Source organism: Homo sapiens, chromosome 3 (assembly GCF_000001405.40).
Source record: "Homo sapiens chromosome 3, GRCh38.p14 Primary Assembly".
NCBI classification, from domain to species: Eukaryota; Metazoa; Chordata; class Mammalia; order Primates; family Hominidae; genus Homo; species Homo sapiens.
The window spans coordinates 140,412,351-140,427,937 of record NC_000003.12 but is presented as its reverse complement, the minus strand read 5'-3'; the positions used below and the strand labels follow the sequence as shown (position 1 = coordinate 140,427,937).

Sequence of the window (15,587 nt, the reverse complement as noted above, 5' to 3'; positions counted from 1 at the left end):
CACAGGCCCAGGCTTGGGTAATTTCATTCAGTTGACAAGAGGGAAACACTAAGAAGACCAAACTGGGTTCACTGTATAGTGCTCAGGTGATGAGTCCACCAAAATCTCACAAATCGCAACTCAAGAACTTACTCATGTAACCAAACACCACCCATTCCCCAAAAACCTGAGGAAATAATAAAAAAAAGAAAATAGAGAAAGCTTAGAAACACTCAAGTTGAGACAGGTGCATACTGGGATCCCCACAGGCTATCTAGCAGCCCGTTTAGAGGATTATCCATCTCTGGGAGTGTCTGTAGCCTTCTTTTGACTCTACGTGTAATGAGATCCATGCCCAAGCCCTCCACTATCAAGCACATATATCCAGGAGACTCAAATCTCCATCTCTAGCACATACCTGTCTCCTAAGCATCAGATGTGACAATCCCACTGCCCACTAGACATCTCTGGCACCTCGCATTGATCTTTTCTCTAAAATGGACTCTTCAGCTGCTGCACATAACTCCTTCTCCTTCCATGTTGCCACCTCAGCGACTGGCATCATAATCCATCTGGGGGCCCATGTGCCAAATGGGAGAGGCAGACCTATCCTTCTCTTCCTTATCCAGTTTATCTACCATGGTCCACTGAGTCTATCTACTATTTCTCAAACCTGTTCTCTCTTTATTTTTTAATTTATGTATATATATATGTATATATATATATATACACACATATATATATATATATACACATATATATATATATATATATTTTTTTTTTTTGAGACAGTCTCACTCTGTCGCCCAGGCAGGAGTGCAGTGGCGCACTACTGGCTAACTGCAACCTCCACTTCCCAGGTTCAAGTGATTCTCCTGCATCAGCCTCCCAAGTAGCTGGGATTGCAGGCATGCACCACCATGCCTGGCTAATATTTTGTGTTTTCAGTAGAGACAGGGATTCGCCATGTTGGCCAGGCCGGTTTCAAACTCCTGGCCTCAAGTGATCCACCCGCCTCGGCCTCCCAAAGTGCTAGGATTACAGGTGTGAGCCACTGCGCCCAGCCCCATTCTCTCTTTAAGTGATGCTTTGTAGAAATAGCTCATCTGCTAAAGGTGGAAAATACCATATAAGAAAATAAACAGTAAAAGTGAAAACAGTACTCTTAGAACTCAAACAGTCTATCTGGTTCCACAGATGACTCCTTACTCATTCTTTCTTGCTGGGCCCCATATAACATCAGGTAACCATAGGTCCTTACTAGGAGGACAACATTCAAAACCTCTCCTTCCCATCCTAACTACTCTACTAAGACCCTGCCCTTAAAGACTTCAAAGATAGCTTTTGTACGTCATCTCCTTCTTTCTCCCTTAAGACAGTCAGTGCTATAGACTAAACGTTTGTGTCCTCTCCAAATTCATATGTTAAAACCTAATCCCTTAAAGAAAATGTAGTTCATATATATACACCACGGAATACTATGTGGCCATAAAAAGGAACAAGATCATGTCCTTTGCAGGGACATGGATGGAGCTGGAAACCATTATCCTCAGCAAACTAATGCAGGAACAGAAAACCAAACACTGTATGTTTTCATTTATAAGTGGGAGCTGAACAATGAGAACACATGGACACAGGGAGGGGAACATCACACACTGGGGCCTGTCAGGTGGCAGGGAGGAGGGAGAGCATTAGTATAAATAGCTACTGCATGTGGCGCTTAATATCTAGGTGATGGGTTGATAGGGACATCAAACCACCACGGCACACATTTACCTATGTAACAAACCTGCATGTCCTGCACATGTATCCCAGAACTTAAAATTAAATTAAACTTTAAAAAGAAAGATTGCAAATTCAAAAACCTGGCATGAGAGGCAGGATGCAAGCCTGTCATTAGCATGCGACCTGCTGCAGGTGCATCACTTTCCTAGTTCCTAATATAATTTTTCATCCCTGAAAACTAGAGGTACCTCTAAGCACACTGTGAGTTCTCAAAGCTCAGAACAAAACAAAGAGAAGTAGTTCTCCCTTCCACTCACACAGGTCTGGCTTATGCTTTGAGCCATCCTCTTCCCTGGCCAACTGAGAATGGGAGTGTTCCCTTCAGCAAAGTTCCACCTCACTGCAGAGTGAGCTGACCATTATCACCTATTCAGAGTTAAAACCTCAGAATACAGCAGAGAAGACAAAGCTCACATAAGAGCAAAATGTATGTGCCTGGCACCCTGGGCTTGTTTTCTGAATGCAAAGTCTTCCTTCCTCCCCTCGCTGTAAGCTAAACCCTTGATAAGCCCCACCCTGCCCATTGGTGAGTGATGCTAGCAAACACACTTTTAGTTCATGCTTAGGTGATGGATGGAAAGTTCAGTGCCATGGGCTGCAAGAAGTGTGGTTCCGCCCTAAGGGAGAAGATAAGACCAACCCACAGAGAAAAGGCAGGAATAAGAAAACCATAGCCTTGGTAGATAATACTTTGGCCAAGGTCTGAAAGGCAGGCAGCGGAAGAGCCGGGGTCTGAGATGTCCTTCTGTGCATAGCTGGGTAAGGCCAGCAGCATTCAGAGAAAGCCTCTTCTGGTCCTGCCCATGGAAGGGGCAATTGTGATAAACAATGAGGGCCACTGCCCTGGGGCATCACTGGAGTCTGAGAGCAAGTCCTCATGGGCCCTGCGAAGGAAGGAAAGGCTCCAGCTGTGGGGCAGGGTTCCGTGCTCTGAGAAAGCTCCCTGGAAGAAGCTGGCCACAGTAAGGACTGGGTGACATGCTGATTGGGAGTGCTTGGGGGAGGTGGGAGCTCTTGCGTGTAATGGATTGGATTCACTGTGCTGCAATCCCCTCCTGCTTAAAAGGAAATGGCTTAGAACAGGTACCAGAATTCAAACTGCCAAAGTGCATTTGCTTGGTTACTCCAGTTGCTTGTGAGGAGTCAGTTTGGGAGAGGCCTCTGTTCTCCCAGAGAATTAAGTGGAATTACGTCTGGCAAATGCACACAGCTCCCTCTCAGCTGGATCTGAGGGGGTTGAGGCTCATTGCAGCTCCTCACCCTGACCTCAAAACCTCAACCACCCACCCTCCCCTACCACAGGCCCCTCCAATCTTGCTTTCCACATCTCTCCAGTCACAGCCTTCTGTGCAAGCCAAACTGCTCTCCTCATATTGTTCACTGGTCCCCTGAATGTTCTCCCCTCTCTATGTTCCTTGTCCATTTACAAAGTGCAGGATTCACCCCATACTGGCTCCATGAAAAGCCAAACCTTTCCCCCAAGGCATTTGATGCCCACTCACAGTAAGGGGCAGTCTGCATCATCTGCAAGTAACAAGCAAGCCAGTAAAACATAGTTCGTTCCAGTTTGCTCTACACAGCTGGGAGAAGGGGCAGGACAAGAGATATACAACTCAGACCAGTTGTGGTCAGTTCTTACCTGGAGAAAGGTGAACTTCCAGTTAAGAGGCTGCAGCCCTGACCAGGGATATAAGAGAGAATAGGCCCCAAGATGAGTGAGTAAGAGTTGAGGGTTGTCCAAGTGGAGGCATGAAGTGAATCAGTAGGCTGGGAGGAGGAGAGGAGGTTCCTCTCTAGGTCTGGGAGCTGGGACAGGAATGCTAGAAAGGCCTTATGGCCTGTTATAGATATCAGAGAGCCTGGAGGGCCTGTCTATGATCTGGAAGTCTACTGGGGCAGTGACTGAGAGAGAGGACATCCCAGACTCTGGATCCGGATGCCAAACACAGTTTGGCAGTTTGAATTCTTGTACCTGTTCTCAGTCATTTCCCTTTAGGCAGGAAGGAATTGCAAGGGGTAAGCTGGGGGAAAAAATTAAGGATGAAGAACTCATTGTCAGCTTCTGCCACTACAGGCTGGCAGCTGTTGGGAATAACACTCAAAATCCTAAGGAAATTGAACACTCAAACAAAGGATCCTCAGCAAAGCAATTTTACTTCTGTGCAGAGGGGTGCTTCTCCTTGGCCAGTCGCCATGAGAGCACACCTGAACAAAGGGGCAGGAGAGCCTTTATTCCTGATGCAAGTCCTGCCCCTGTACCCTTTCCCCATTGGCCAGGGTCAGGTCCCACAATCTGAACTAATCCCGGTTGCCTAAACATTTGAACTTTCTTTAGATAGGGTGGGCACGTAAGGGAGAGAGGGGAAAAGGGGAAGGGGTGTCTGCAATGAGCTAGAGAGCTAGTCTTCTTTCCAAATAAGGAAAGGAATGTGAGCTGGTACTGATAAGCCTGGTACTGTGACATGTCTGGGCATGTAGCAAAGGCAGGAAGGAAAAAAGAGAAAAAGAAAAAATGGGTGGTGGGGGGTACTATGAATTAAAGAATAAAGGATTGATTAGGCTCTTTGAAGAGAAACCTCATCATATCCCACACAGCTAAGGCAGGGAAGCCACTATGAAGTAGTTGATTCTGATGTTACATGTGTTTAAATCACTGTGCCCGACACTATGAATGGATGCAGGGAATTGCCTCTTCCCTGCTTTCTTTATTCCACAGAAAGGTACATTTTTTTAACCAAAGTTTTGCTGACCATTTCTCCATCATTAAACACTTGCTAAATGCCTGCCTCATGTCTGGTTCTGTGCTGGGCACTGGAGTGTGCTGGGCACTGGAGACATAATAGCAGATGGGCACCGGCCTTGCCCAACAAGATTTGTCCAGAGCTGCAAACAGCAGTGTGCGCTATAAGGTGGTGCTCAATACATTCTTCACTCGTAGAGTTAAACATTGTGACCAGGTTTTTCCTTGCATACATTTAATAAGTACAAATTCTGTTAGGAAATTATATTTAAATTTAGGAATAAAAATGTAATCACACATCTGTAGGTGCCTCATTTGTCAAAGTCAAAGAAGCATTGGGACTATTCTTCTGACATAGCTGTGTGTTTTGCTTTTCCTACTTAAATTCTCATTGTGAACATATTTCATGCATACAGAGTTTATATATACTTTCCAGGTTTTCTCTTCAAAGGCCACACGTTCATTGGAGCTAATCTTCATGAGTTAAAAACAAAACAAGGTGAGTTCTTCTTAACTCATATACCTTTTCTTTCATTCATTCATTCATTTATTCATTCATTCATTCAATGACTATTTCTTGAGCACCCACAATTGGCACTAGACACTGCACCAAGCTTGAGAAATTCAGTGGTGAACAAGACAGAATTCTGTCTGCAGGGTCCTCGGGTCTAGTGTTATAGCCAATCAGAGCTCAGGCTCCCTGAGGTTGGGAAAACAAAGTTTCCCACTCTGGCTTGTCCTTCTTTCTATGTCTCTTCCTTGATCCTAACAGACTGACACAAAGATGACTCTGCTTTGTTCTTTACCTCTCATGTGCCTTACCTGTGGTTCCTTTACTGAGCATTTCATCTTTTCTACTTTGTTCAAAGGCATACAACTCTGGCTCTCTCCAGAGGTGGGTTAAATTACCCCTTCCGATCTTTTCAGTTTTAAGTTTTAGGGAGATCAAGTTGTGCAAGGGAGGAGTGCTTTGAGAACTGCCTTCTGAGGGGAATGATGTCAGGCAGCTTCTGAAACAGGTGTCCTTACTTTGTACCATGATGTCCTGCCAATCTGACCCTGATGAATTGGATTAGGAATGAATAACTGACTAAAAGACAGTCATTCAAAGACTGACCAGAGATTTATAGGGTGGTCTGGCATCAGTCTTCCCTACAGGGATGTGAGTGATTAACACCAACTCTTTCTGGGGAATTTAAGAATTAAAGATAGCAGAGAGAGAGAGAGAGAGAGAGAGAGAGAGAAAGAAAGAGAGAAAATATGAGAATATAAGAGGGAGGCAGAAGCTTAAAGACACACCAAGAGAAGGCAGTACACAGAAATGAAGCAGTTTATGAGTTATGAGTAAGCAATAGCCTGCAGCATCTTCAACACATGAAGTAGAGAGAGGGAGTCATCGGGCAGCCAAAATAATGGTGCAGAGATAATTCTAGAATCCCTGCTCAGCCACCAGATCTATTGGCATCACCACTAAAGCTATTATTATTCCACAAATCACTCAAATCTCTGTAAGGTCCATCTATGCAGCTGTCCTCACCTTCCTTACTTGCCCTCAGTTCAGTGATAAACTGTTATCTAAGGGTGACCTAAGCATTTAGTTTCCTTTGCATTCTAAGAGCTCTAAACTGACACAAAAATCCACCTCCATCCAAAGCCATTGCTTCTTCATTCCCAGAGTCAACATTTTATACATTCCCTAATCCAGAGTCTGGATTCTGGGTCTCCCGCCTCTGCCTGTGTGCATTCTGTGTGAGCACAAAGAACATGGCGACTTTCCCCAGGTGTTGATCCGTGATGCAAAACTTGAAATGCATCAGGTAGACCCAGCACCCTGGGGTAAAGTGAATAGGCTTGCTGGCAATTTCTCCTACATGCTGTGAGATAATTACTATTGATCGAAGATGTCATGAGATTGGAGAAAGGGAGCACTGGACAAACTGGGCACATGAGGTTAGAGGAGATGTCTTCGACATTCTCAGCTGAAAAATGGGGATAATATATCACCTAAGAGTTGTGAGAATAAGCAAGCTACTTTATTTCTCACAGCAAAGTGACTGTACTTTAAAAAGTTATGTGTTGTGATGATTTGAGGACAAGTACACCACCTTCTATACATCAGACCATGCTGCCTTCACACAAGACTGATAAAACAGGCCCACCTTGCCAGCCAGGCTTGCAAACTGGCTTCACATCCACCTGCACCAGGGTGTCCTGAGCAGCGGGCTTCTGTCCACAGTCGTAGGCGGTCACCAGGATCTCATACTGGTGTTGTTTGTCATAGCTCAGCTTCTCAGTGTTCCTGATGTTGCCTGAGGAACAGAGATGTTCAAAAGCATTTCAGGTCAATTTAACTGCACTTGTACTTCTCCCAAATCTCTTCTCCACTCCACCCACCTTCACAGGAAGAAAGTGACCCTTTTCCTTATCTCTTTGTAAAAACAAGGGCAAACAGGAGCATGGCTCCACTTGTAGCGTGCTTATGCTTTGGTGGCAAATTCCTGGGAACCCACTGGCTGAAGCCACCTAGCTGCGCAATAGGACTGCCAGGGAATTTCGAGCACACGCCTGGAATCCAGCTGGCTTGTGTTTATAAGTAATGGGCTGCCAGAAGACTTCCTCCTGAAGTACAGCCGTGTGATTGTGTCCCTGATGTAGGGCAAAGACCATTCATCTGCAAGGATATCTCTGGGAAAAAGATGGAATTCAGAAAATGTCCTGACACATATTTTTTAACATCTGGGCTTGTCGCCAGGAATGTTCACTGCCTCATCTCACATTATTTTTGCTACCAAATAGGAAGTAAAATCAATAAGAAAACGTGTGACCTCCCTTCTGAAAGCGACATAGAATAACACACTTTTCGCCCCGAAGAAGACATTTTTCTTCTCTAAGAGAGACCAAGTAACTTTTTTCTGAGTTGTTTGTGTGTTTTTGCTCCTGTGGGTTTCATATTATAGTTCTGAAATAAATATTTGGTAATTAATGAGCAAAATGTTAATTCATTATTTTTGCTGAAATACAATTTTAGTTCCAAAGAACTAATAAAGACCTAAAGTGAATTTAATACTTTTAAGCTTTAAATTCTAATAGATTAAAATATTTTGCTGAGAATAATTTCATTCCTACTACTTTTTTTTTTTTTGGCGGCAGAGTTGACAGCAAATTAGAACTCAAATGTTATCATCGTTTACCAGAAACTAAATTTTAAAAACTGAAATTAAAAAACAAATGAACAAAATAGGCTGGGTGCAGTGGTTCACGTCTGTAATCCCAGCACTTTGGAAGGCTGAGGTGGGTGGATGGCTTGAAGACAGGAGTTTGAGACCAGCCTGGCCAACATGGTAAAACCCCATCTCTATTTAAAAAAACAAAAATTAACCAGGTGTGATGGTACACATCTGTACTCCCGGCTACTCAGGAGGCTGAGGCACGAGAATTGTTTGAACCTGGAAAGTGGAGGTTGTAGTGAGCAGAGATCGCAACACTGTACTCCAGCCTGGGTGACAGAGCAAGACTGTCTGAAAAAAAAAATCAACAAAATAAACAAAGAGGTAATGGCTGACATATATATATATACATATATATATACACATATATATACACATATACGTATATATACGTATATACACGTATATACACGTATACGTGTATATACGTGTATACACGTGTATACACGTATATGTGTATATATACGTATATACATGTATATACGTATATATACATATATACATATTCATATACGTATATATACGTATATACATATTCATATATGTATATATACGTGTACATATATATGTATATATACATATATACGTACACGTATATATGTATATATACATATATACGTACACGTATATATGTATATATACATATATACGTACACGTATATATGTATATATATACACACACATATGTGTGTGTATATATATATATATATATTTTTTTTTTTTTGAGACAGAGTCTGGCTCTGTCACCCAGGCTGGAGTTCAGTGGCATGATCTCGGCTCCCTGCAATCTTTCACCTCCTGGGTTCAAGTGATTCTCCCGCCTCAGCCTCCCAAGTACTGGGACTATAGGTATATGCCACCACGCCTGGCTAATTTTTGTGTTTTTTGTAGAGATGGGGTTTCGCCATGTTGGCCAGGCTGGTCTCGAACTCGTGATCTCAGGTGATCCACCTGCCTCATCCTCCCAAAGTGCTGGGATTACAGGTGTGAGCCAACATGCCCAGCCTGACTCAGGTATATTTTTATATTTCATCAAAACTAAAGAAAAATTGCCTAAATGAGCTTTCTTCTAACTGCTATGTATTGTTTATGCATATTGAGAGAACATGGAATGAAACAAGAAAGCTTGGAAAATTAGAAAAGTCAAATAATGCTTGAAAGATTTTTTTTTTAAAAAAAGGTCCACCAATTACACAATATTAGTGAAAGAGTATTGGTACCCAGGCCATGAGCAGGTGCTGCACATGTGAATCTATGTGAGGGTGGAAGGAGCAGGAAATGGGAAGGTGAGGGTCTGAGACAAAGTTCAAGTAACTTGTCCTGGACGCTGACTGATGTCCAGGAGGGAATACGAAGTTGCCCAAGACACTGGATCAATAATTAGAATAATCAGCCCGGCGCAGTGGCTCACACCTGCAATCCCAGCACTTTGGGAGGCTGAGGTGGGCAGATAACAAAGTCGGGAGTTCGAGACCAGCGTGACCAACAAGGTGAAACCCTGTCTCTACTAAAACTACAAAAATTAGCAGGGTGTGGTGGCAGGCACCTGTAATCCCAGTGGCTCGGGAGGCTCAGGCAAGAGAACCACTTGAACCCGGGAGGCAGAGGTTGCAGTGAGCCGAGATCGTGCCACTGCATTCCAGCCTGGGCCACAGAGTGAGACTCCGTCTCAGAAAAAAAAAAAAAAAAGAAAGAAAGAAAGAAAGAAAGAAAGAACTAGAATAATCTATTCTGCTATCTTCTCTGGACTACTTCTAACAATACAGCTTCATCCACCAATTAGAGATAGAATTTAGTTAACAAAGTCAGTCAAAAATATCTCAATAAAAACGTGTTTGATGTGTTTCTAGCTTAGTGGCTGGTGTTCGGAATCCCTTTCATTTCTCCTCAATTATTGTTTCCCTCTCAGTTCTGAGGGCTTGCACAGGTCTGGAATGGCTCAGTATTGGTTGGTAACACTCAAACTTATATGTGGTTATAGTTGTCACAGGGGAGGAATTCTGTCAGGTGGAAGCACTTTAATATAACCATGAGAAGTATATTTTCACAACATCACATTGAATTTTGAAAAAAAAAATTAACTTTCTTTAAAATTAAATGGCCCTCAAAAGATACTCCTCTTACAAAAGGAAGGCTCAGAGTTTACAATGTGTACAACATTAAGCAGACCAAACACTATTGATTGTGGTAGAAAAATAAACACACAAGCTGAATCCTTGGCTCAATTTGTTGCAGGTCTACTTCCATAACAAGTCTTAATGAAAGTGTCTGAGAAACTAATTTACCTTCTCCACCACCACCAAATTTGTGCATGTGAAAATGAGTTTCAAAGCACAGAATTTGAAGCATTAGCTAAAAACTGAGGGTATAGTATTGTGATGAATTGTTGCATGGGAGAAGGTCATATTTCAATAAGATACACATTTAAAATTTTTTGAAAGCTCAGAAAAGTCACCTGTTTTGCTTCTGTTACAACTGTATCTTTTTCTCCCATATTTGAATGATTTTTCTATCACGGTCTTCTCAGGAGACCTAATCCCACAGTTAACCATGGTGAACATAAGTCCCTGGAGCTATTTCTCCAAAGGAACTTGAAAAATTCACCTTCAAAGAACAACCAGTCCCTACCTTACACATTAGTTTAGGTATTTTTTTTTAAACTCGGAGAGTGGGGGCTGAGGGGATAAAACAGACATACTGACCAACACTCTTCTAGTAGAATTTAAATGGGAACAACCTATCTGGAAAGCTACTTGGCAATATATGCTAGTCAGTTTGAAATTGCTTATACCTTTTGGGAGTGCAATTCCTCCTCTAAAAATTGATTCTGGAAAAATGATACAATTGCAGATACATGTACAAATATGTTCATCTAGTATTTATTGCACTGAAAAATAGCCTGACACTATAAGGGAAGAGCTAAGTATAATGTCTATGCATAAGATGGATTGTTGTTCAGTAGTAAAAGTGGTGATTATAAAGAACGTTTAAAGATGGGGAAAATACATATAGTTAAATGTTAAGTGAAAAAAGGGAGGACAGACAAATGCAAGGACATTGCGGCCCTAATTTTGTTTAAAAACTTTACAGAAAAACTATTGAAAATTTGGCAAACAATGATTTAATGGTTAACTGTTAATAATGGTTACTTTGGCAGGATTATGGGTGACTTCATACTTCTCTGTGCTTTCCAAATTTCCCACACAAGGCATATAACACTTTTCCATTCATATGGGAAATAAGCATTTTCATTCACTTTAAGAATGAGCAGTCTTTAGGATACATTTGGCTCAGAAGCATGAATCCTGTTATTCACTAGGGCAGCCTTCTGTCAAAGAGAGAGCCCAGCTGAGGCTGCATGAAGACCAAACAATTGCTTGAAAAGTAGAAAATCTGCCAATTGGTAACTGGGTGTCGTTGAGAGCCTACCGCTCCCTCCACTGTCATTCTCTAACATGGCTGAGTGGCTGGCTTGTGCCAGAGGCTCCAGTATTTTTTTGGCATCAGTTCAGATAACAATCACACTGCACCGGTACAATATTCAATTTCCATTTTACTGGTGAGGGTCTGAGACAAAGTTCAAGTAACTTGTCAAAGACCACACAGACACACACATACGAGTGGTAGATGCAAGTGTGGGGTCCACCAACTTGCAGGATTTTTTTCCAGCTTTATGGAGGTATGACTGACAAATAAAAATTGTATATATTTGGGGTATACAATGTGATGTTTTAATATATGTATACATTACTAAATAACTACCATGATCAAGCTATTTAACATATGCATCATGTCACATAGTTACCTTTCTTGTGTGTGTGTGTGTGTTTGTGTGTGTGTGGTGAGCTCAGTTGAGATCTACTCTCAGCAAATTTCAAGTATATAATGCATTACTATTAGCTATAGTCACCCTGCTGTACATTCTCCAGTATTTATTCATCTTATATTAATAACTAAAGTTTATATGCTATGATCAATACCTTCTCTTTTCCTCCACTCCCTCCCTAAACCCTGGCAACCACCATTCTACTCTCTATTTCTGTGAGTTCAACCTTTTAAGATTTCACATACAAGTGATATCATGAGGCATTTGTATTTCTGTGTCTGGGATATTTCACTTAGCATAACGTCCTTCGGGTTCATCCAAGTTGTTGCAAACGGCAGGATTTCCTTCTTTTTTAACGCTGAGTAATATTCCATTGTATGTTTGTATCTCCCACATATTTTTTATCCATTCATCTGTCAACAGTCACTTAGGTTGTTTCTGCATCTTTGCTATTGTGAATAATGCTGCAATAAATATGGGAGTGCAACTATCTCTTCAAGATACTGGATTATTTTCCCCCTATGGATACATACCCCAAAGTGGAATTGCTGAACCTATGGTAGTTCTATTCATAATTTTTTGAGGTACATTCATGATGTTTTCCGTAATAGCTGTACCAATTTACATTTTCACCAACAGTCTACAAGGAATCCCTTTTCTTCACATCTTCACCAATGCTTCTCCTCATGGACTTTTTGACAGTAGTCATCCTAATAATTGTGAGGTGATAGCTCATTGAGGGTTTGATTTGCATTTTACTGGTAGTTAGTGACATTGAACATCTTTTTGTATGCACGTCGACCATTTATATGTGTATCTTCTTTGGAAAAATGTCCGTTCAGGTCCTTTGCACATTTTAAAATCAGTTTGTTTTTTTTTTTTTTTTTTTTTTTTGCTATTTTGTGTTATATGAGTTCCTCATATATTTTGGATAACTTTATTGCATATATGGTCTACCAATAATTTTCCCATTCTGTAGGTTGCCTCTGCATTTTGTTGAATGCTTTCTTCACTATGCAGAGCTTTTTAGTTTGATATTGTGCCACTCATTTCATTTTGCTTTTGTTGCCTATGCTTTTGCTATCAAATTAAAAAATTGTTGCCACTACCAATGCCAAGGAGCCTTCTCCCTGTATTTTCTTCTAGGGTTTTTATAGTTTCAGGTCTTATGTGTAAGTCTCTAATCCATTTTGAATTTATTTTTGTGTATGGTGTAACAGAAGGGTCCAATTTTGCTTTGTTTTGCTTGTGGATATCCAGTTTTTTTCAGTACTATTTATTCACAAGTCTATTCTTTTCCATTGTGTATTCTTGGTGGCTTTGGTGAAAATTAGCTAACTATATATGTGTGAATTTATTTCTGGGTTCTCTATTCTGCTCCATTGGTCTATGTGTCTGTTTTTATGACAGCTACATACTGATTTTATTACTATAGCTTTGCAATATAGTTTTATAGTTTGAAATCAGGAAATGTAATACCTCCAGGTTTGTTCTTCTTGCTCAAGGTTGCTTTAGCTATTTGAGGTCTTTTGTGCTTCTATATGAATTTTAGGATTGTATCTTCTGTTACTATGAAAACTGCCATTGTAATTTTGATAGAGATTGCATTGAGTCTCTATCTTGCTTTGGGTAGTATAGACATTTTATTAGATTTTTAAATTTTTTTATTTTAATAGTTTTAGGGGTACAAGTGGGTTTTTACATAAATTGTATAGTGGTGAAGTCTAGGATATTAGTGCACCTATCATCCAAGTAGTGTACATTGTTCCCAATGGGTAGTTTTTTTTATCCCTTCCCACTTCTCATCCTTTTCCTTCTGAGTCTCCAATGTGCATTATATCACTCTGTATGCCTTTGCATACCCATAGCTTAGCTCCCATTTATAAGTGAAAATGTGCAGTATTTGGCTTTCAATTCCTGAGTAGAACATTTTAACAATATTGATTCTTCCAATCCATAAACATGGAATATCTTGTAATTTATTTGTGTCTTCTACGTTTTCTTTCATCAATGTTTTATAGTTTTCTGTGTACAGATATTTCACCTCCTTAGTTAAATTATTTCTAAGTATTTTATTTCTTTTGATGCTATTGTAAATGCATTTTTAAAAATTTTTTTGGATAGTTTGTTGTTAGTGTACAAAAATGAAAATAATTTTTGTGTGTTGCTTTTTTATCCTGCAACTTTACTGAATTTATTTATTAGTTACAGCAGTCTTTGGTGGGGTCTTTGGGGTTTTCTCTATGTAAAATCATGTAATCTGCAAACAGACAATTTTACTTATTCCTTTCTGATGTGAGTACATTTTATTTCTTTTTCTTCCTTAATTGATCTGGATAGAACTTTCAGTACTATGTTGAATAAAAGTGTCAAGAGTGAGCATCTTTGTCTAATTCCTTACATTAGAGAAAAAAGCTTTAAACTTTTCACCGTGGAGTATGATGTTTGCTGTGGCCTTGTAATATACAGTCTTTATTGTGTTGAAGACATTCCTTCTATACATTATTTGTTGAGAATTTTTATCATGAAAGGATGAATTTTGTGAAATGCTTTTTCTGTATCTATTGAGATATCATATGATCTTTGTCCTTCATTATGTTAATGTAGTATATCACATTTACTGATTTGTGTATGTTGAACTTTCTTTGCATCCCAGGGCTAAGTCCCACTTAATCATGGTGTATGATCCTTTTAATGTGCTGTTGAATTTGGTTTGCTAGTATTTTGTTGAGGACTATTTTTGCATCTATGCTCATCAGAAATATTGGCCTGTAATTTTCTTTTCTTGAACTGTCTTTGTCTGACTTTGATGTCAGGGTAATGCCAGCCTAATAAAATGAGTTTGAAAGTGTTCCCTCCTCTTCAGTGTTTTGAAAGTTTGAGAAGGACTGGTATTAGTTCTTTCAATGTTGGGTAGAATTCAGCTGTGAAGCCATCAGATCCTGGGATTTTCTTTGATGGGATATTTAAAAAAACTATTATTATGAATTCAGTCTTCCTACTCATTATTGGTCTGTTCAGATTCTCATTTCCTTATTATTCTGTCTTGGAAGGTTGCATGTCCTTAGGAACTTATCTATTTTTCCTAGGTTATACAATTTGTTGGTATAAAAGTGTTCTTAGCAGTCTCTTACCATCCTTTGAAAATTATTTCAGTGGTATCAGTTGTAATGTCTTCTCTTTCATTTCTGATTTCATCTATTTGAGTCTTGTCTCTGTTTTTTTCTTAGCCTAGGTAAAGGTTTATCAATTAGTTTATCTATTTAAAAAAACAAACTTGGTGTCATTGATCTTTTATACGGTCTTCTAGTGTTTATTTCCATTATTTCTGTTCTAATCTTTGTTATTTCTTTCCTTTTACTAATTTAGGGTTTAGTTTGTTCTTGTTCTAGTTCCTTGACGTATAACATTAGGTTTTTTATTTGAGATCTTTCTTCTTTTAAAATTTAGGCATTTATTTCTATTTATTCCTATATCATTCCCTTTTAAAATGGCCTTTCCTACATCCGAAAAGTTTTGACATATTGTGATTTCATTTTCATTTGCCTCAAGATATTTTCCTTTTGATTTCTTCTTTGACCCATTTGTTGTTCAGAACCACGTTATTTAATTTCACATATTTGTGAATTTTCTAGCTTTTTGTCCTGCTATTGATTTCTAGTTTCATACCGTCATGGTTGAGAAAAAAATTTTATATGATTTAAATCTTAAATGTAAGACTTAATGGCTATAGTGAATGCTTACAATTTTATGTTACCTTGGCATTCATTTTGAATATTAGTTGGACTTCCCCACACCAGAAGCAGGACTCAGTCACTCTTAACACAGCTTCCAGTTCTCCAAGTTTCTCTGTGTGGCTAATTCAAACAACTGCCTTATACAATAGCCTCCTGGTGACCAGTTCCCTATGGGACAGCTAGATACAGACTACTTGCCTGGTCCTGCTGCCCCTCATACTCTGCATGGACTGTTCAGATATGCCACAGTGACTACCTTTCAGTGAACATGTGACCTCCTAGAACTCATGCCT

The 15,587-nt window shown here is 39.9% G+C and overlaps 1 protein-coding gene across 2 annotated transcripts in view, besides 2 other annotated features; it reads right to left on the bottom strand.

The window, feature by feature from the left end:
* The window catches only part of CLSTN2 (calsyntenin 2), a 642,213-nt gene that overhangs the window by 149,460 nt on the left and 477,166 nt on the right, over positions 1–15,587 (bottom strand). For both annotated transcript variants that reach the window (NM_022131.3, XM_017007022.3), the window contains exon 5: positions 6,664–6,813. In NM_022131.3, the coding sequence (NP_071414.2) occupies positions 6,664–6,813 (150 nt within the window). The remainder of the gene's footprint in view (positions 1–6,663; positions 6,814–15,587) is intronic.
* Positions 2,485–3,369: an enhancer, noted in NCBI's record as "H3K27ac hESC enhancer chr3:140143411-140144295 (GRCh37/hg19 assembly coordinates)". NCBI's record gives its function as "activates a minimal SCP1, AML or CMV promoter by ChIP-STARR-seq in primed H9 embryonic stem cells {active_cell/tissue: H9 hESC(primed)}" and the evidence as "EXISTENCE:reporter gene assay evidence [ECO:0000049][PMID:30033119]".
* Positions 3,777–4,976: an enhancer, noted in NCBI's record as "BRD4-independent group 4 enhancer chr3:140141804-140143003 (GRCh37/hg19 assembly coordinates)". NCBI's record gives its function as "activates an origin of replication core promoter dependent on BRD2, P300/CBP, MED14 and CDK7 cofactors, and independent of BRD4, by STARR-seq in HCT116 cells {active_cell/tissue: HCT116}" and the evidence as "EXISTENCE:reporter gene assay evidence [ECO:0000049][PMID:35650434]".